The sequence below is a fragment of the Homo sapiens genome, chromosome 4, assembly GCF_000001405.40.
Source record: "Homo sapiens chromosome 4, GRCh38.p14 Primary Assembly".
Taxonomy (NCBI): Eukaryota; Metazoa; Chordata; class Mammalia; order Primates; family Hominidae; genus Homo; species Homo sapiens.
In genome coordinates this window covers 173,196,897-173,219,948 of record NC_000004.12, presented here as the reverse complement: position 1 = coordinate 173,219,948, position 23,052 = coordinate 173,196,897, and the positions used below count along the sequence as shown (strand labels likewise).

At 38.7% G+C, this 23,052-nt stretch overlaps 1 protein-coding gene across 10 annotated transcripts in view; it reads right to left on the bottom strand.

Moving 5' to 3' along the window:
* The window catches only part of GALNT7 (polypeptide N-acetylgalactosaminyltransferase 7), a 155,157-nt gene that overhangs the window by 104,019 nt on the left and 28,086 nt on the right, over nucleotides 1-23,052 (bottom strand). For 5 of the 10 annotated variants that reach the window (XM_047415779.1, XM_047415778.1, XM_011532025.4 and 2 more), the window contains exon 1: nucleotides 15,850-22,864. The exons of the other annotated variants lie outside the window; for them this stretch is intronic. The gene's annotated coding sequence lies outside the window, so the exon portion shown is untranslated. Of the gene's footprint in view, nucleotides 1-15,849; nucleotides 22,865-23,052 lie in introns of those variants that run through there. 10 annotated transcript variants of the gene reach the window in all.

The following is a 23,052-nucleotide window of genomic DNA, read 5'->3' as shown; positions in this document are numbered from 1 at the left end:
ACAGACAACCCACAGAGTGGGAGAAAATCTTCACAATCTATACATCCAACAAAGGACTAATATCCAGAATCTACAAGGAACTCACACAAATCAGCAAGAAAAAAACAAACAATCCCATTAAAAAGTAGGCTAAGGAAACGAACAGACAATTCTCAAAAGAAGATACACAAATGGCCAAAAAAAATGAAAAAATGCTCGATATCACTAATTATGAGGGAAATGCAAATCAAAACCACAATGTGATACCACCTTATTCCTGCAAGAATTACCGTAATCAAAAAAATCAAACAATAATAGATATTGGCATGGATGTGGTGAAAAGGGAACACTTTTACTCTGTTGGTGGGAATGTAAACTAGTACAACCACTGTGGAAAACAGTGTGGAGATTCCTTAAAGAACTAAAAGTAGAACTACCATTTGATCCAGCAATCCCACACCTGGGTATGTACCCAGAGGAAAAGAAGTCATTATAGAAAAAGATACCTGCACACATATTTATAGCAGCACAATTCGCAATTGCAAAAACATGGAACCAGCCCAAATGCCCATCAATCAACGAGTGGATAAAGAAACCGTGGTATGTATGTGTATGTATACACACACACACACACACCATGGAACACTACTCAGACATAAAAAGGAATGAAATAATGGCATTTGCAGCAACCTGGATGCAACTGGAGGGTAAGTAAGTGAAGTAACTCAGGAATGGAAAGCCAAACATCATATGCTCTCACTCATAAGTGAGAGCTAAGCTAAGAGGACACAAAAGCATAAGAATGATATAATGGACTTTGGGGACTCGGGAAAGACTGGGAGGGAGGAGAGGGATAAAAGACTACACATTGGCTACAGTGACATTGCTCAGATGATAGGTGCACCAAAATCTTGGAAATCACCACTAAAGAACTTATTCATGTAAACAAACACCACTTGTACCCAAAAACCTGTTGAAAAAAAAAATTTTTTTAAGAAAAAAGAAAACAACTAAAATGACCAAGAATTTAGTAGTTGGTGACTGCTTGAGGGGAGAGACCATGACTCATTTATCTTTGCATACCAGGCATCTAGCACAGTATGAGAGGAAACCCAGAACCAGCAGGGGGTCAATAAATGCTGGTTGAATAAAATAAACAAGTGATGAATGAATGGAAGCACTGGGCAACTGACAAAATTTAAAAGAATACATGTGCTTATCACTAAGATATTTTGATATTTACCACAAACTCTAAGCAGAAATTCTATTTTACTATTATTATTTGTACTGGACACTATCAATCCTTCTACAGTCAACACAATGTGAATAGCAATGCTTAACTTAAAGAAACAGGAAATCTAAGTGGCTGGGAAACTTGCCTGAGTTGCTCTTTTTAGGTACCTGTGCATAATTTCCTTCAAACAACTGTCAATAAAACACCCACCCCCACACACCCTTCTCAGTGGCCCTGCTTGGATGCTGTTTCCAAAGCAAAGGAAACAAAATATTGAGGGAGAATTTTAGGTAAGGGCAATACTATCTTGTTCTCCATAATTTAAAAATCCTCTCAAATTTACTATAAGAGCTTTTTAGCTTTTCAGAAAATCGTCTCACGTTTTTTCAATTGGATTAGTAGCTAAAGTAAAACCATTTACCCAACTCCTAAATTCCAGCAATCTTTTCTAAGCCTTAGGGAACTGAGTAAGATTCATTTTTCTTTTTATATCAGAAGCCTTATTTGGTTCATAAATGAAATGACTTCTAATCTACAGAAAATGTCTATGCTAAGATTAGAGGATAAACCAGAATCACTAATCTATCTTTATTATCATTTATGCTGAAGAAACTCTCCCAAGCCCAATGAATAGCATAAGGTATTGAAATTTAATCTGTCTCCCTACCCTGTCTCCAGAAGCCAAGACAAAATTTAACAAAGTGATTCAGGCAGAGAAATTACAGTTATTGTGAAGTTTAATCAGAGAACTCTCTGGAGCGGGATGTCTTTATGACTGTATTTTATAAACAATTGTCAGTACCCTTAGCATTTTTTTATCTTTTGGCTTTATAGGGAGTATCTTACAATAGGCACAATCTTCTATAAGCAAGGTTGCAATGCAAGTTTATCAACCCACTCCTTAATGACTCACAGAGTGAAAGCAGGCTGCAAAATATCTGTTTCTCACCAAGTCTGCACAGAAGTTTGATGTGTATTAAATTTCATCTTCACTGTGTGTCTTAAAGCGCATATGGCTAAATGTGGGTATGAAGGTTTAAGAAAAATTATGAATGGCAAAAAACATAAACCATCCCCTATTACTTAGGCAAAGAAATGTAGAAGATTCCAAGAGTTGAATCTTAAAAACAATAGAAATATTAAGTCCAATTTAAATAAGAAAGCTATGGAAGGTAATTTTGGTTTTCTTTCGTAGAAAATTGTTTTAAAATGCACAAACTAAAACATGCTTTTCACTTCAACCTTATGTTCTAGTAGATGTCAAAATCTACTAAATATTATTAGGGTAAATTAATGGACTATTACCATATGAAGTGAAAATAACCTAAGTAGGATGCATAATATTGTATTTTGAAATGTTCTTCCAATGGTAGTAATAGTTTATTACTATCAAGCTATCCTCACTGACAACCTTGTCCCCACCATGAACAAGCGACACACCCTTCTGTAAGAAGGGTAATAACTCAGGATTTGATCTGTGACTGTGCAGCTAACAAAACTAATCTATATGAGGATCATGCCTATACATGTATATGCATTTTTTAACTTAATGGCACCATTCTCTGGTTAACTGGGCAAAGTGACCATGTATTCTTTTTAATGTACTTACAGTAGATGAGTGACTGATCTGATAATGTGGCCAAAAAACAAGAACCAGATTTTCCGCAGATCAAATTTTCTAAAGTATATAAAAATATATAATAAGGGCCAGGCATGGTGGCTCACACCTGTAATCCCAGCACTTTGGGAGGCCGAGGCAGGCGGATCACCCGAGGTCAGGAGTTCAAGATCAGCCTGGCCAACATGGTGAAACCTCGTCTCTACTAAAAATACAAAAATTAGCCAGGCGTGGTGGCAGGTACCTGTAGTCCCAGCTACTCGGGAGGCTGAGACAGGAGAATCACTTGAAGCTGGGAGGCAGAGGTTGCAGTGAGCCGAGATTGCGCCATTGCACTCCAGCCTGGGGGACAAGAGTGAGACTCCGTCTCCAAAAAAAAAAAAAAAAAAATATATATATATATATATATATGAATAGTACACAAGAAACCAAATTACTGAAACTACAAGACAGTAGCCCCAGCCCAGCCCAGGAACCCTCACACCTGGGGAACACAACCACCACTCAGTTGCCAAATAGAGAGCCAAATACTGAATGTTTACTAAAGAATACATCCTAGTAGGTTCTTTCATATATAATTATCTCACAAAATCCTCCTGACAACCATAGTTTTTATAAAAGAAAACACTGAGACTTGGAAAGGTGAAATGATTTATCTAAGTCAATACAACTGGTACTAACAACTGACAAAGTCAGGATTCGAACACAGACGTCCTTGATGTCAAAAGCCCAGTAACACATTACGCCCTCCACTATTGTACTTATCTATTTTAAGCATTTAGATTGTTGTATATTTCATGTAGATTCGACTGATTTGGCTGATTATTTGGATGGTTTAAGTTTACCTTTGCACTTTTAATGAAGAAAGTGTTTGCTAAAGTAAATCAGTAGTTGAAACAATATTAAAAGAGAAAAGGGTGAACATATTCAAATATCATATAGAATCATAACATAGACATCATTATTAGTTCACTTTAAAGCCAGCTTGTGGGCTTTTTTTTAGACAGAGTCTTGCTCTGTCACCCAGGCTGGAGTGTGTGATCGCAGCTCACTGCAACATCTGCTTTTCAGGCTCAAGCCATCCTCCCACCTCAGCCTCCCAAGTAGCTGGGACTACAGGCCCATGCTGCCATGCCCGGCTGATTTCTTTATTTTTATTTTTTTATTTTTAGAGAGAGAAGGGGTTTCACCATGTTGCCCAGGCTGGTCTCGAACTCCTGGGCTCAAGCAATCTGCCGCCTTGGCCTCCCAAAGTGCTGGGATTACGGGCGTGAACCACTGCACCCGGCCTTTTAAAGCCTGTTTTGAAGGTCTGAGTATTTGTAAAAATGTAGTTCATATTTTCTAGCTCAATCTTAATTACTGGAACAGTTTCAAAATAATTGACAAAAAGAAGAGTGGATTTTATATGGTTCTATTGTCAGAATGCTCCTTGAAAGGATTCCTTGAGCCTGATGAAATTCCACATCCTGAAACTTCTCAAGTCAGGCTAGGTCTTAGGGTCAAAACAACGGGCCCTCCCCCAGCTCACAGCTCTGATCCCCAGTCGGGTTCCCCAGGACTTGGGTGCATTAAAAGGAGAACAGCAGGCCGGGTATGGTGGCTGACACCTGCAATCCCAGCACTTCGAAAGGCCGAGGCAGCGGATCACCTGAGGTCAGGAGTTCAAGACCAGCCTGGGCAACATGGTGAACCCCCGTCTCTACTAAAAATACAAAAAGTAGCCAGGCATGGTGGCACACGCCTGTAATCACTGCTACTTGGAAGGTAGAGGCAGGAGAATCGCTTGAATCCAGGAGACGGATATTGCAGTGAGCCGAGATCACACCACTGCTCTCCAGCCTGGGCGACAGAACAAGACTCCATATCAAAAAAAAAAAAAAAAGAAGAAGAAGAGCAGAGGTTGGTGGTGGGGCCAGTGGGTATTCAGAACCTCTTGGATAGTTGGATTTGTTCTTTCAACTAACTTTCTTTGTGTATCCACCATATTTCTAGCCAACATGGCTGTGGGAATACAAGAGATAAAAGTCATAGCATTTGCTTTCCAGGAGCTTAGATTCTGGTAGGGAAGAAAGAAAGCAGGGGATCATGATAGGATTACAGAAAGGAATGGGTCCACATGTCCAAGCCACAACTTAACTATAAGAACTGGCATTTGGCCATCACCAAGGCAGTCAGTGTATTCCTGAAGCACGACCGTAGGCTAGATGCCAGGATGTGTTGGTACTGCCTCTGCTATTTGAGAGGTTTTGAGTAACATTTTGGAAAATGCTGTCACTACTAGGGCTGGAAAGAGCATTAAAAAAAAAAAAAAATCCAAGTCATAAGTTTGGAAGCAAAAGGAAGACAAGGAAGACAGGTTACTACTTGATTCCATCAAGGCATTCTATAAACTCTCTGCTGCCAAGTGCCAGAAATTTGACTCTACCAGGCTTGAGAAGTTGAATTTGGACTAGTGGTTGAAACAGCTCTATTGAGAACTTATATATACATGCACCAAGCACTTCACTGTTCCCATGGCTCATCTGGATCTGTTAAGTCTCTTTTCTCTTTGAAGATTTCTTAAAATCTGAAGTTTTCTTAGGGCTCTCAGTCCCCTGTAGACTCAATCTAATCATAGAGATCTTGCTCTTTCTCTTGGAACACACTTTCTGTCCCAGCGGGCAGGCTAGTTAGAGATAAGGGGTCTGAAGCTACCATGACCTTACAGAGTGATCTGGGCCAAATTGCAAGTTAATGACTCCTCAAAATAAAGCTTTCTAGTTTATCAAAATCCAGAGGCTGAAATACTTACCACAATGTGGTCTCTTAAGGGTTTTTTTTTTTTTTAAAGAGCTTTGTATTTATTCTGTCTTTTGAACTGAACTTAATTGCTTAAAGGATACAACACTTAAACTTCTTTAAAAACATCAAGATTAAAGAATATACAGTATAATGATCACTTCTCTAGTTAGGTCTTGCAAAAAAATAATAATAACAACACTGGGTTGTGTGTTATTTCCAGAGGCATCTTGATCTTTTTGCAAATCAGAGATTGTTTGAGGTTTGCCTGGAGTCACTGAAAAGCCCTTACATTAACTTTATAAAGTGAAATGTATGTTGGTAAAGTACAGGGGCCAATATTTCAGAAACATACAGTAGAAGAATCTATTTAAGTCTATCTAAAAGCCCTCAGTCTAAAATCAAAGGTGCTATAAAAAAATTATAAGGAATCCTTTGGAGTAACAGGAAAGGATGTTCATTTAATTTAATCAAGGAGAAAGATGAGACTTTTAAAACAAAAGCTGGTAAAAACATAATGGCCAGCAAACAAACAGAACTGAGGTGCTATATGCCTGTCAGTGCTTGAATATTTATCTAAACAGTTGTATTTTTGTGACTTAATCTTTAATTTCATAAGAGTGAATTTTATTAGAATTTTTTGGTTAGTAGACCTTCAAAAATTACCGAGAAATAATCACTATATAGTTATCAAATCGTTTTCAGGATATGTGCAAACAGCCTCCTTTATTTGATTGCAAAGTATAACAAAAATATCAATCCAAGACTCTTACAAAAGAGTGTATGACTACTCATATTATACACCACAGCTCAATTGTATTAAACACTACTGTCTCATTGCCTAACCAGGCAATTGTTCTACAAACATTGACTTAGAAATAACAACTTTTTTTTTCTTGCCAGCTTCCAGACTAGTTCTTCTTTACTCTCTTGAATGGCAATTGCTTAAACCTGATAATCTTCTGAACAAGGTACCTTCTAACAAACTCTCAGGTTTATGGGGAGCAACTCCTCATGGGGTAAACAAAATAGCACAGAGCTGAGGGATCAGGTTTATCAGTTTTAATTCTACAATAAAATCTCTGTTCTGCATAAGAAGGAAAAAAAAACTAGAAAGGAGGAGAATGTAAAACGAGAAATCACATTTTTTGTTTTAAGGGTCTTGACCACTAAGAATACATCAGGGAACTCCAAATAAGGGGTTTTCTATTTATCATCTCGTCAACTTAAAATTACAAATAAAATACATACCTTTTTCTCAGATATTTAATACAAGTTAATCAATAGTAACTCATACTTCCCAGTGCATTACATATACAATTACATCCATTTGTCCAAAGGGGATTTTTTTTTCATGAAGTGAGCAATTACGTTAAAAGAGAGAAACAAGGTTGTGGTTCCAAGTTTTAGTATTTTCCACAAAAGGTATTTTTAAAATTTGGATCTTGTACTCAGCTTGAAGGAACCTATTTTTGAAGAAATGATCATGCTCTTTAATGTCCTATGTTAGACACACGGAAGGAAACACACATGGAACTCTGAAGCACTGAAGTCATGGGGCTATTGTCTTTGTTCTGTTGTATTGATATGTCCAATAGACATGTGTCAAAATATTTTAAATCATTTTATTATAAGCAAATCACTATACCTTAACATGATATTACATTCTAGCAAAAGAAAGTCATCATAGCTGATAAAAAAAAAAAAAGCCAACTGAAGTGAGTCAGAAGACAGTGGCAAACTAGCACTGGAAGGGAATCTCTATGTGAGTGGAGTTAATCCCTTCATCTCTTTGGATCTCTCTGAATTTTCCATTTGTAAAAAGACAGTTAGTCTAGATAATCTAAACTGAAGCCTCTTTCAAGTGAGTGTCATATAACCATCCTGATTACTGCTAAATAACCTGTTTAAACGTTTTGGACCTTTAAAATGCTTTTTAAAAATTCTAGTAGTTATTTGTAGGCTATTATGGATATCATTATTTTATTTAACAGGCTTGTTAATTACTTGTGACTTTTGTAGACTTAAGTTGATTTTTAATAAGCATACGGATTAAAGAACTATGAAAATATTTAATTGTTAAATTCACTTGCATGAAATAAAACTAGATAATCTAAGTTTGGTCACTTCATACAAAATTAAGTGTTAAAGAGCAAACATTTTTCTCCATATCTCCAACTCATCAAAAATAATCCACAAATTACCTTTGGATGACCTTTCTGAGACTTACTATCTTTCAGTATAGCACGTGTGCTGTCCTTGTCAGCACCATGTGAAAGAAAGAGAAGAAAGCCACTGTGACTCACCTATGAAGAACTCCCATTAAATTACAGAGTAGTCAACCACACTGCCTGCTGATATCTGGCAGCCTTGTTATTAAAGATATGAAATTTTAACCTGAAAAATCCAGAGCTGACACTTTGAAAACTGACAGGCTGAAGAACTTTTGTATTTGGTTATGATGTCCAGAGATATACTAAAATAATTATAATAGCCCTTGGTATCTATTTTGATATAGATTTTTAAAAGCAGTTTCAGAAAAGTATAATCTATGAGGTGAGTCTAAAAGGTATCAAGAACATGGAAATGCATATAAAATCTACACGGTCATGCCCATCACAATGAAACTTCAATTAACAAGACTATTTAGACAATGTGTGTGTGTGTGCACACGTGCTCGTGCACACATGTGCAGGTAGGATATTTTACATTAAATTTCCTGATAATCTAAAGAGTAACTTGAAACTCCCTTTTGTTGCTGACTCTTGTTATTGAACAAATCTGTGTATAATATTAGTCTACATTCTTATCCTATATGTTAGAAATGATGAGGCAAAAAGGACACCAGATTTGTGAATGGAAGACTGAGGTCTGTATCATTACTCTCTGTGGGAAAGCTGTTTGATCACACAGGACGTGTTTAGTCATAGGTAGACTGAAGAAGCTGGATCATCTTAGTGGTTTTTAATTAAATGTACTTGTCAATATCACCTATGTACCTTTCTCAAGACACACATGCCCAGGCTCACACAGAGCAGAGATTTTTACCTTAACAGATCTAGTGAGGGTACAGGCAGGAATGCATATTTAGAAAAAGCTTCCAGGTGATTCTGAACATGCATCCCTAGATAAGAACTTCTAGATGTGGTTATTTCCAATATAAAGTCACTAGTAAAATCACTCAGAATTTGGAGGTAAAGTGATTTCATATGTAGCTATTGAGTACTTGAGATGTGGCTGGCCCAAATTGAGATGTACTGGAAGTATAAAATACACATCAGATATCAAATGGAAAAAAAAAAGAATGTAAGGCATCTCAATATTTTTTAAGATTGATTACACGCTGATACATTCTTTTGAATACACTAGCTTAAATGTTAAAATTAATTTCACCTGGGTTTTTAAAGCTATTTTTAATATGGCTACTAGAAAATTTACAATTATAAATGTGACTTGCATTTATTTTTCCACTTGATAGCACTGAAATAGAATTTTAATAAAGTATCTTCTACAAAAGATATTTAATATTTAACATTTTAATTTTTTTGTTGCAGAATCAAAAAGAAGGATGGGACAAAAATCAGCAAACGTAAAAGGAAAAAGTAGGCCAGGCATGGTGGCTCACCCCTGCAATCCTAGTACGCTGCGAGGCCGAGGTGGGCGGATCGCTTGAGCCCAGAGTTCCAGACCAGCTTGGGCAACGTGGTGAAACCCCGTGTCTACAAAAAAAAAAATTTAGCCTGTAGTCCCAGCTGCTTGGGAGGCCGAGGCAGGTGGATCGCTAGGACTCGGGAGGCGGCAGCTGCAGTGAGCCAAAATGGCGCCATCTCACTTCAGCCTGGGCGACAGAGCAAGACCCTGTTTCCAAAAAAAAAGGAAAATAAAAAAGTAGTAAAAGAGATTTTCTGTTCTCCCTGGCTTTTGATAGAGATTTGTGCAAAAGTGCAAAGGTGACCATTTTTCAGTTAGCTCTAAGTATGTTTAGGAAAGAGTCAATGACGGTAAATTTCCGACGGATGAAATTCCATCTGCCTCAAACACAGGCTCTGTGCCCACAGAGACTCCGAAGCATAGGTTTCTTGGCATCCTTCCCGCCAGGAAACAAGTACTCATTCTTCTGGCTGGAGCCAGTTATGTTGATGCTGCAATGTTTCTAGGTAAGCATAATTAAATAAGTATTTCTTTTTTTTTTTTTCTTTTTTTGAGACGGAGTCTCGCTCTGTTGCCCAGGCTGGAGTGCAGTGGCACGATCTCAGGTCACTGCAACCTCGGCCTCCCGGGTTCAAGCGATTTCTCCTGCCTCGGCTTCCTGAGTAGCTGGGAGTATAGGCACGCACCTCTACCCCCAGCTAATTTTTGTATTTTTAGTAGAGACGGGGTTTCACCATGTTGCTCAGGCTGGTCTGGAACTCCTGACCTCGTGATCCACCTGCCTCGGCCTCCCAAAGTGTTGCAATTACAGGCGTCAGCCACTGCACCCAGCCATGAGTGTTTCGTAAATTGCTAGGTGCCTAATTCTGCCTGAGCACAAAGGCACCTGAGGTCACAAACTTTGTGCTGGCACCCGGAAAGGAAGGCAGGCAGGCGAAGGATAGACTGGCAGGTAGGGTGGGAAAGAGGGAGCCTGACGAAATGGCCTGAAGGCCATCTACACATTCCTGAGGGAGGCAGTGATGGAGGCTGGGTCAGATGCCAGAGATTAGGAGATCAGATTGGGTGACTGGGAGGTACTAGCAGGTGTCAGGTAGTGGAAGGAGACGTGAAATGTTGAGAGTGAAATCTGGCTAAGTGACAATTTTCCTTTTGGCTCCAAGTAACTACACAAATGTCAGTGAAGGTATATGTTCACAGATCAGAGAAGACTAGAATTATTGGCATGTACTGCATTCTCCAGTCCTAGACCTAAAAGCAAGTGAATACAAAACCTGGGTGGAACAGGGAACTAGTATTACACAGAAGTTTTACTCTTTCTGCCTAGCTAGAAAGAAATACTGACGAAGAGCTAAGACGTGGGCTGACCAAGGCAGCCTCATTCAAACGTGTATACTACAGTAAACTCCTTTTGCAGCAGGGAAGAGAGAATACAACATCAGCTAAAAACATTTTGATAAAGAACAATGATGTCGGGGGATGGTGGTGAAGACCTGCCCTCCAGATATTAAAATTCTGAAATGGCAATAATTAAAAGTTTGGCACCAGTGTGCATCAGAGACAGGTTAAAGAAGCAAAGCTCAGCAACGGGCACAAATATATGTAAGAATTCAGTACTTCAAAACTTTGTATTATTTAATAAATGATACTGAGTAGTTGGCTAACCATTTGAACAAAAGATGAATCTCTAAACTATTCTACCCACCAAAATAAATTCTAGAAATGAACAAAGATTTCAAAGTAAGAAGTAATTCACAAAAGTACTAAAGAAAACATAATCTTAAATTGGAGAAAGACTTTCTAAACATGGCGGCAAAGGTGGAAACCAAAAGGAATCACTTGCAGGTTTCACCACATAAAAATTTTAAAATTTCTATATATACAAAGCACTGCAATGTTCAGCTCAAGATGGCAAGCTAGGCACATTTGCCTTTCATCTTTAGAGAACCATTTAAATAAAAAGACGGAGGTACAAGGAGGATAACTTGTAACAGGGAAGAGACGGGCTGGAACGACAGGAAGCAGATGAGAGCCAGCTGGGAGATGAACCAGCGAAAGAGCTGCAGTGGAGATGAAAGCCTGTCCTGTGTAGATTATGGAGGAAGAAGAAACTCCTGGAAATGCTCTGGGCTCAGTCTGCGGGTGCGGAGGAGGGGGTAAGAAGGGATAAAGGTGCTAATATTCTCATTTTATAAAGTAGACAGTCAAGAGATGCCGCTGAATGATAATGGAGTACAAAATAGAATTAGGTGAGTTACTTCAAGTCATAAGGATAAATAACCAGAATTTTTAAAATATCAAATATTAATAGGATAAGAGGCAAATGGGAAAGGGTAAGTCAAATTCACATCTTTTCTATCAAGAAGTGCATAGAAATTTTCTATTGCTAAAACAAAAATATAAAGAATTGTATATTTTCTAATGCTGTTAGGTAGAAAATAAGAAAACAGCATGATTATACTTTTCATTTTTAACTATTACATCTTTTGTAACCTTGAATAATATTTTAAAATATCACAAATAAAATAAAAACAAAACAACTGGGGGGAGTAACTAATATTTATGACACCCAAATTGTTAATATTCTTAAATCCAAGTCCCCTCCCCTAGAGAACTCTTACAAATCAATAGGAACACATAAACACATCAATGGTAAAAAACAGGAAAAAACAAACAGGCAATTTACAAAATAAGAAACATCCAAATGACCAATTTGTAAATAAAAAAGACGTTCAACTTCACTAGCAATTTAAAAATATAAGTTAAAAAAATGAGATTCGTTTTTCACCTATGAAGTTGACAAAATCTGAAATGAAAATATCCATTGTCCACAAAGGTGTTCAGTTATTGGTAAAAGAGTAAACTTACATAACCTTTCTAAAATGCAAATGACTTAAAATTTTGCATACTTTTTGATCCAACAATTAAAATACTAGAAATGTACCCTAAAGAAATCATGACCCTGTGGATCAGTAGGGAGAGCAACTTAGTTACTTCCCTCATTTATACATATTACTTAAAAAATAAACCAGAAAGGGGAGAAAAGTACAATATTTAAGAAGGTGCACAAAGAATTAGCTACATCAACTCTTACCACAGAACTGTTTACAACATCAGAGAGGTGAGAAACAACCTTAATAGAGGATTAGCTGAACAATTTTACTACTAAACGATATGGAAAATATTTAATGGTATGAAAGATGGTTTCGAGAGAAAGTCAGGACACTAAGCTATAGGTACAAAACAAGCCATTTTACTTAAAAAGTATGTTTTCTTTATGTAATATATATACATAAATGTAGAAAATGTTGGAATAATATATACTAAATTTAGCAAGTTGTCTTTGGGTGGTAATTATTTTATTCTTTTTTGTATTTTTCACAAAAAATGTATTTTTGAATTAAGATTTTTAAAAAGCATATAAAGGGGCATTCTTGGGTAGCACACACTAGAACAGCCCCAGTTAAATGGCAACAGATTCCCTTTGGAGAAAGTTCTGGAGCCCACTGCACAGTCCTGGTACTCAAAACAATATAAATTAGACAGCTATGAAAAACAAGTGAAGAAAGGGCAAATTATCACACCTTAGACACACAGCAACATACAAGACAACACAGGTGAAGAGAGCTGATATAGAGTCCGCTTGTTGGATGGTAAACCCCAACAGTTATAGACAGGAGCTATCAATGGGAAGCTGGTGATGGCCACAGGGACAGAAAGCAAAGTGCCCTTTTGCACAAAGGCCCTGGTGGCAAAAGCAGCAGTTTCCAAAGGCCTGGCAACGGTAGACAATTGTAGCCAGGGGTAGTGTCACACCTTGGTTGCAAGTTTCATGGCAGTTTGGTAAATCTGGAACCACTCCAGTGGGAAAAATACTTTCAGCTGGGCACTAAGGACCCTCTCTCCACAGCCCCTCCCCAACCTTCCCCAGCAACAAAATTCCTGTGGAGGGTGCAGACTCAAGGACAGTTCTCCCTCACCCATCACTGTTCTTTTCTACCTCCCATTTCTTAGAACATAAGAGAGAAAGAAAAATCTCGCAGAATCTAAAGACTAGTTTGATATTCCACATCTGCACAGTGGAAGCAAGCAACCTCTGAATTCACAAAGACTGAAGTTTGAACCTTGGCTCTACTAAATAGTTTTGTGTCATTGGCAAGATATTCAAGTTTGCTGAACTTTAGTTTCTTCATCTGTAAATCTGGGACAATTTGAGACAGATATAAAGAAATGGAGGAATAGGACTTTCCAGTACACATCACCCCCACCCAAGAGAAATATCAATCTGAACTACCATCCACATAGAAAAACACCTTTCACAAGAACTAAGGAAACCAAGTGAGAGATTACAGCACCTGGATGTAGCATTGAAGAAGGTAGGAAGGACAGTTTGACATCACTTGCATCACCCCACTCCCAACCCCAGGCAGCACAGCTTAAAGCAAGGTATCCTCAGTATGGGGGAAGGAGAGAGAAATAAGCACTAGACTTTGCTTTGGATCTGCCGGCAAAATGAAGCTTGCCTCAATAAAAGCCAGCACCAGGCTATCCCCTGCAGCCTGTCATCAGGCTTGCACCTGCAGACCCTGCTTCCTGACTGCAGATACAGGCTCCAGGCCCACCCAGTGCCAGGCCAGCCCCTGAGGTTCCAGGTTCCAGGTTCCAGGATGGTAACTATCTGTGGACTGAGCCTCCGAGTCTTTCCCAGCACCAGGCAGGATCCTGCAGCCCCAGGCTCTAGGCTAGCCTGGCAGGCTGTCTCTGGACCTGCCCCACCACCAGGCCAACCCCAACAGCCCCATTAGCCCCAGACTTCATGCCCACCCAAGCTACCAAGCTGGCCCTGCAGCCCTAGTCATGAGGCCAGCCTCTGCAGGTATAGGCTCCATGCCACCCAGCACCAGGCCAGCCTCTATGACCCCAGGTTCCACCCCGGGTTTCAGACCATCCCAGGGCCAGATTGCCCTACACAGCCCCAGACTTCAGACCACAGCCCCAGACTTCAGACCCAGCCCAGTGACAGGGGATGGGTCTGTCATTCAGCTGGCTAACCTGTCATTGGACTGGGTCTGAGGCACCAGGCTGGCAACTCTGGACATAGGCTTCAAGATTTCCCAGTGCCAATCTGGTCCCTGCAGTAAGAAATCAAAGCATACCACTAGAGAAAACCACCTAATCATAAAAAAAAGACAGCAAGAGAGAAGAACAGAATAAAGTCCCTGCAGCCCCATGCTCCAGCAGACCCAGGGTCCAGGCCCAGCCCAGCAGACCCTGCTGACAAGCTGGACCCATGAACCAAGGCTCCAGGACCAACCCTGCAGACTTAGGTACCAGGCCCATCCCAGTACGTGGTCAGCCTCTGTAGACTCACACTCAAGACCTACCCCAGGACCAACCCTGCAGACTTGGGTACCAGGCCCATCCCAGTACGTGGTCAGCCTCTCAAGGTCACACTCAAGACCTACCCCAGGACCAGGTCAGCCCCCCAGGCTTCAGATCAACCTCTGAGGATACGGGCTCCAGACCTACCCTTACAGATCCAATGAACAGGGGATCCAAGGCTCCAGGTCCAACCCGACAGACCCAGAGACCCAGGTACCAGGCCCACCCACCTGCTGATCCAGGCACAAAGTCCAAGGGCTCCAGTAGTAAGTCTGCCAGAGGACCACACCAGATGACCTGCTCAGAATCTCTGGATCTCTGGATGAGCTGACTGGTGAAAGGCTTCCCCAGAAAATCCCAGTATGCAAAGTCTGGAATAAGTCCTTACTTCTTCAAATGCACAGATTATTAACATAAAGCAACAAAAAACATGAAAAACAAAGAGACATAATACCACCAAAAGAACACAAAAGATCTCCTAGGAGCTGCCCCCTGCCAAAATGGAGATATATGAACTGTCTGACACAGAATTCAAAATAATTGTTTTAAGGAAACTTAAATGCAGAGAAATAATTCAATAAAGTCAAGAAAACAATAAATGATCAAAATGAGAAACAACAGAAAAAATGAAAGTATCTTTTAAAATTCAAACAAATATTCTGAAGCTGAAATATACAATGAGTTAAATGAAAAATGCAATAGAGAGCATCAGCAGCAGAACTGCTCAAGCAGAAGTAAAAATCTGTAACATTAAAGGCAGGTTATTTGAAAATATACAGAGGAGAAAAAAGAAAAGGAACAAAGGAAGTTTCTGGGATTTATGGGACAGCATCAAAACAGCAAATATTTGAACTGAATTGAAGAAGAGAGTCAAAGGCTCAGTAAGCTTATTTAAAGAAGTAAAAGCAGAAAACTTTCCAAATCTAGGGAAAGATATAAATATCCAGGTACAGGAAGGCCAACAATCTACACTCAGATTCAATCCAAACAAGACTACACCAAGACATACTATAATCAAACTGTCAAAAATCAAAGACAAAAAGAGGATCATGAAAGCAGGAGAAAAGAAGCAAATAACATATAAGGGAGTTCCAGAAAGACTGGCAGTAGACTTCTCAGCAGAAACCTTACAGGCCAGGAGAGAGTGAGATGATACATTCAGAGTGCTGAAAGAGAAAAAAATCACCAACCAAGAATACTGTACCTGGCTAAGCTGTGCTTCAGAATTAAGGAGAGATAAAAGACTTGCCCAGACAAACAAAAGCTGAGGGAGTTAATCACCACTAGTCTTGTCTTATAAGAAATAGTAAAGGGAGTTCTTCAAGCTGAAAGAAAAGGATGCTAATTAGTAATATGAAAACATATGAAAGCATAAAACTTACTGGTAAAAGTACACAGTCAAATTCAGAATAATACTGTGATAGTGGTGTATACATCACTTATACTTTAGTATGAAGGTTAAAATATAAATTATTTAAATAATAGCTACAATGTAATTTGTTGATACACAATATAAAAATATAAATTGTGGCATCAAAAGCGTAAAATGTGGGAGGAAGTAGAGCAAAAGTGTAGTTTTTTAATGCAATCTGAGTTGTTATCAACTTAAAATAGCCTGTTATAACTAGATGATGTTGTATATAAACCTAACGGTAACCACAAAGAAAACCTAAGGAGGATACTCAAAATTTAAATCATAAGGAATCAAGGCATAGCAGCAGAGAAAATCACCTAATCATAAAAAAGATAGCAAGAGAGAAGAGCAGAATGAAGGATTTATAAAGCAACCAGGAAGTAGTGAACATAATGGCAATAATAAGTCCTTACCTGTCAATAATTACTTTGAATGTAAATGGATTAAATTCTCCACTCAAAAAATACACAGTGGTTGAATGGATAAAAAAACAAGACCTGGCTGGGCACGGTGGCTCACGCCTGTAATCCCGGCACTTTGGGAGGCCGAGGCGGGAGGATCACAAAGTCAGGAGATCGAGACCATTCTGGCTAACGGTGAAACTCCGTCTCTACTAAAAACACAAAAAATTAGCTGGGCGTGGTGGCGGGCGCCTGTAGTCCCAGCTACTTAGGAGGCTGAGGTGGGAGAATGGTGTCAACCCAGGAGGCGGAGCTTGCAGAGCCTAGATTGCGCCACTGCACTCCAGCTTGGGTGACAGAGCGAGACTCCGTCTCAAAAAAAAAACAAGACCTAACTATTGCTGTCCATAACAGATTCGCTTCACCTGTAAGGACACATAGACGGAAAGTAAAGAAATGAAAAAAAAAAAAATCCATGAAAATTGAAATCAAAAGAGAGCTATACTTTCAGGGTAGCTATATTTGTATCAGATAAAATATACTTTAAGTACTGTAAAATGAGATAAAGAAGGTCATTATATAGTAGTATAGGATACAGTTCATCAAGAGAATAATTATAAATATATATGCACTTAACATTAGCACACCTAAATACATAAAGCAAATATTAATAGATGTGAAGGGAGAGACAGACAATATAAATTTGGGACAATGATAGTATGTATCTCATGGAGCTGCTAAGAAATAAAAGCAAGCAAATAGTCTGTATTCAGAAAAATGATAGCTTTTATTAGAAAACGCCAGGCAGCCTTAAGGGCCAGGTGGTATGGTCAAACAAATGCTGTAAATGGCCAGGTCAACAAATCAGTTTGAGTTGTAGTGAGCAGATAAGATTTCCTGGAGGAGGCAGGATTTGAACGAGACTTTGACAGCTAGATAAGGATTGAGGAGACAGAAAAGAGTGAAGAGGGTTATCTAAGAAAAGGCAATAATATTACTGAAGTTAGGCAGACAGATCCCTCCTCCTCCTCCCCATTTCGGTGATTTCTCAGCTCCATGGCCACTGCAGACCTACATTAGGAATCAACTTCATAGGCTCTTCTCCCCACAGTGTCCTACAAGTTTAGGTGGTCATGGTTTCTCTGCCTTCTATAATGTATGGTAAAGAGTTGGACCCACAATAATTTGTACTTCTCTTTCAGAGAATTTTCATTCACCCTTGATATCTGAGTGAACTTCTTTAGAGCTATGCCCTATGACAGACACTGGGGATAAACCAGAAAAAGTACTTTAAATACTGTTTGATTCTCAGTTTTCAAGAATACAGAAGCACTTCCCTTTAGCAAAATAAAAAGAATTTATATTATACAATATCAATATTGCTACAAAATAGCAATAATGATCATCAGAAAGAAGAAAAATCAATAAATACTATGAACTTCTAGACCAGCACAGTTGTCTTAAGCAAAACCAGACTTCCTAATGAACAGTCCATAAAATTAGAATCTATTGTGTTTTCTTTTGGATTGATTTTCCTCTCTTCAGAAGTATAAGAAGACCCAGGCATCTATTGACAAAAAGACTTGTCACTTTTTCAAAACTATAAAATCTAAGAGACATAAAGATCTGAAGTTATCTGCCTTCCTATTAAGGAAAGCCCACAACATGAGGGATGATGAAAAGATGTTTGCAGGGTTCTGGGCAACCTGGCCGATGCATTATTGAGGCACTTCAAGCTAATTAACACAGAAGGTTGTAGGACACAATCAGCAGTTACTAGAAAAAAAAGGTGCTTTTTCTAAGAGGTCCTCTCTGATATCACCTGTTGCTCATCTGCTCTGAATGGGAGTTGGCATTTTCATTAATGTTAATACAATGTTGATTTGAATCCTGTAAACCGAAAATGACTTACTGGTTTGGCCCAATCTAGAAATAAGATATATAACCCAATTCTCTTTGCTCAAAATAGATTATATTCTAGTTATACAAATAGCTGTGAACCCTTTCAAAGCACTTACATTTTTTTCTTTATTTTTACCTTGATTCCATAAGGCAGCAAGGTGCAAAGAGAACAGCAAGTACTTGGAAATTTATCATATTTAGGTTTATATATTTGGACCTACCATTTCTTACCTGTGTGACTTTGGCCAAGTTTATAATTAGTTAATTTATTAAATTAATTTAATAACCACAACTTATATCAAGAATGGCATGAGGTGGCTTATCTAAAAACATACAGTAAAACACTATTTTTTAAAATATTTGGCAGAAAAATGAAGGCCAGAAAATCAGGAGAAAAAAGATAAATACAAAATTCATTCTAAAAGGTCTTATGTAACTGTTAAAAGTAGGTTCAAAATATTGGCTTGGAATTACATAAATGTTAAATGCAAAGTAAAAAACAGTAATTTACAAAATTGCTAGGCCACATACTTAATCTGAACACATTTATTTGTGATGGATAAATCTCACAGATCTTGAAGGTTGACTGCAAGAATTAAATACCTCTATGAAAATACCTAGTGTAATCCCTATTCCATAAATGTTCTTTCTTTTCTCTTAATCTTTTCAGTGATAAATCTCTCTATTTTAAACTTAGGTTCAAAACTGGCATTTGAGAAATGCTACTCTAATTCTTTTCTCATTCAGAATATTACTTTCATCTCACTGAAATAAAAAGCAGCACATAACACAATCTACAATGTAAGATTTCAGGATGATAGGATCTTTGTACTACAAAAAATGGAAATGGCTGTATCCTGCAAAATATATTTGCTGCAACATTCTTTATGATGACACATTCACCTCCCACTCCTTAGCAGACCCTAAACACTGGAAACACATAAATTTTAAAAGACAAAACTACTGTTAGCAAGCTGTGGAGAATACGTGCCATTCAAATAACTAGAATAATATGGTCTTGCACATGGAATCCTAAAATAACATGTAGGAGGTTGTCAGCTCTCTGATATTAATGTGCTAATTAGGCTTCCCCAGAATAAAATGATATGTAAAGCGAGATATTCTTTTTTTTTTTTAAGAGTAGAATCCCATAGATTTTGGAAAGCAGTATCCAAGAACAAAGTGGTCTTAGAACATGACAGCATGTATGACATATACAGATAACTGAAAATAGTTCTAAACAGATTAATCTGAGTCGCTTTCTTTCTGCCTGAAACAATCAAGGGAAAATGTGACTCTCTGTAATGGAAATACCTGACATTTTCATTCTCTTGGCATAAAATTGTCATGTTGCAAAAGGTGACTGACTTTCAATAGGATGCAATTAGATTAATTCCGAAGTGCTGTTACAGAAGTTAGATATATAATTGGTTAGCTAAATGGCTTCTTCCATGCACAAATAGAATTTTAATAATTGCTTTAATTTTATAAAAATCTTATTTATCTAAAATGGTTAGGGAATGGGTTCTTCAGGTTATGAATATTTGCAGCAATAGAGACTTTCTTATTCTATACATGGATTGCCAATTTTCTAAGAATTAGAGATCAATAATGTACTAAAACTATTCCAGGAAGACTTTAACTTTTGTTGATTCAAAAGGAACATGGTGCATCATTTAGCACCGTAGGGTCATCGTTATGATAATCCATTTTTATTACAGTCCTGTGGTTCTCATCTACCCTAATTATCCAGCAAGTGGTTCATTGCAGATTCTGATTTATTCCATCCTACCTCAACCCTATTACCAACTATCACCACCCACCACCCGCCGCCCAAACTGGAAGACAACCAGAGATAAATCCTCAAGAAACTTCTTTTTAAGAGGGTGGTTAACAAAGTTAAATTGGGTAGAAAACAGATGAAGCAAGTTTTAATCTCTTTGCTGGGTAAGAATAGTGCCTACATGGTGTGGGTGATCATGTGTAAGACTCTGATGGGCAAACCTGGGGCCCATTAGGAGGGCATGAAGACTCAGGCATCTGAGCTGGACCATGGCACTAAAAGATTACAGTGATGACAACTGTAACGATGATGGTTATGACGGGAATATCTCTAACATCATCATCTTCAATTTTAGCATGTGGTCCTTATGTTCCAGGCACTGTCCTAACAACTTTGCATATACTAACAATCCACTGAGAGGCACTAGGAATGTCCCCAGTGTTCGCATGCAGATGTCAGTAGCTTGCCCAAGGTTATCAAGTAAGTGGCGGATCTAGGACCTGAACTTGGGCAGTCTGGCTCTAACCTCAGCCACTACAACATGCTACCTCCACCATGCAACTTATCACTCAATCCCCTAGATGTTGAGTCTTTCTTCTCCGAACTACTCTACTCTTTAAATGTAACTGTCATCTCTGTGTCTGTGGCACATAGTATCTAGCACATAATGCTCGAAAAAGATTTACTACATATTTTGTATATAAAAATTTGATTGAAATACTTCTTATACATGCTCTTTGCTCTTATTGCAACAGCTTTCCTCAAAGTGTGCTCTCAAGAACACTAATTCCTTTGCTTTTATCTCTGCCTAGAAGGTTCTACCCTCCAAGATTTTTGCAAGGCCAGTTAACTTGAATTATTCAGATTCCAGCTCAAATATCACCTCTTCAAGAGGCCTTTTATGACCATCTGATCTGAAATAGCTCTCACTTCTCACCCAGAATACCCACACTGATTTATTATATTCAACGTATCCCTCATGATCTGGAATCATCATTTCAATCTTTTTACTCATCTCTCTCTCCCTCCCCCAGTCCTCGCTGAAGCAGCCTGTGAAGGTGTCTGTGGCACACAGAAAGTCTCCAACATTTACTGAAATAATATATGAATTGATGCCAATAGGTTATCATACTAAATAAAGATTTTGTTTTCATATAAGTTTGTGAAATTCTGGGTTAGAGAAAGTTACATTCCTTCAGGACTTTTCAGCCTTGTGAATCTTTAAGAGGCAGGTATAATAAACAGCTTTTGCCAGACTTATCTGGTCATAGAACTTATCTGGCCACATGAATTTTTTGTATTTGTAATGGATCTCCTCACAGAAGGACACTCTGGGAAGGGCCACATAGAGATGTATTAACTATATGAGAGGCTGTTGACATTGCTTTAAGAAGTGCCCTTCTCCCCAGTCTTTTCTTCACTAAAGAAACAATCCAGGCCGGGCGCGGTGGCTCACGCCTGTAATCCCAGCACCTTGGGAGACCGAGGCAGGCGGATCATGAGGTCAGGAGATCGAGACTATCCTGGCTAACACGGTGAAACTCCGTCTCTACTAAAAATACAAAAAAAAAAAAAAATTAGCCAGGCATGGTGGCGGGCACCTGTAGTCCCAGCTACTTGGGAGGCTGAGGCGGGAGAATGGCGTGAACCCGGAAGGTGGAGCTTGCAGTGAACCGAGATCACACCACTGCACTCCAGCCTGGGTGACAGAGCGAGACTCCGTCTCAAAAAAAAAAAAGAAACAATCCAAGTAAAATCAGGTAAAGCTAGCTGCATCACCCTTGCAGGGGTTGAAATGCAGTGTAATGCATGGTTTACATGTTTTAATTCCTGGCCTCCCTAACCCTCATGGCAGCCCTGGGAGAGGGGCACAATCTGCATTTTACAAACCAGGAAAGTGAGGCTCTGATGTGTGAAGTAATTCAGCCAGCTAATTCACCACCCTAATCGACCCAGCTGCCAAGAAGATGGACCAGAACTCAAATTCACAACCTTCTGGTCCCAAAGCCCATCCTCCTCCCATTATTGCACCCCACGTCTTCATCCCCCCACTTCTCTCCAACCACAGCCTGGACATCCTATGGGATGACCCTGAGTGAGATGTGGCTGCTCAAGTTAGAGCAGAAGTAGACGACAGCACATCTCTACCTCCACTACCTGTGTTTACATTGCTCCTTGTGCAATTCCCACAAGAACAGGGATTAGAATTTTTCTTAATATCCAACAACACTAGGTACTACGGAATCTACACATCAAAACAAAATAGGAACATCTCTGATTACCAATAGTATAACCATTTTCATCCCTTCACTGTGTAAGATTTCAGAAAGAAGAGAAAGATCTTTTCCCATTGCTGAATTAAATTGATTAACAAGTAAATTACTTTTTATCATAAAAGTCCACTCTAGGGTGTATAAAACTTATCCCCATGCTTTCTGTTCCTTCATATACATGAAATTTCTTTACTCTTTTTAAGAGAGCATAGCTCTAAATACTACCCTCTACCCTCTTAATGCAATATAAATTTATCTTTTAGAGAACTTCAGTTATAGAAATCCTGCAGAGCGTCACTATTTTGCTTAAGAAAAAGAATCTCAGTGATGAGTCTGGAAGTCTGAGGTTACTTTCCAGCACTTGCACAGAGAAGGCATTCATGGAATTAGGTATCTACTACCCATATCTTGACAACCCCAAATGATAGTTACTTCTGTTTACCTGTCAAAAAAAAAAAAAAAAAAAAGGGAGAGAGAGAGATAGAGAATCTAAAATTTTCACCTTCTCTGAATCAGGTACCTATCAAATGTACCTCTGGGTGTCTGGGCAAAGAACCCAAATTCTATATGCATTAAACTGGTTCTTTAAGCAACAGGAATAAAGATAACATCTAGGAAGCAAAGAAAAATCCAA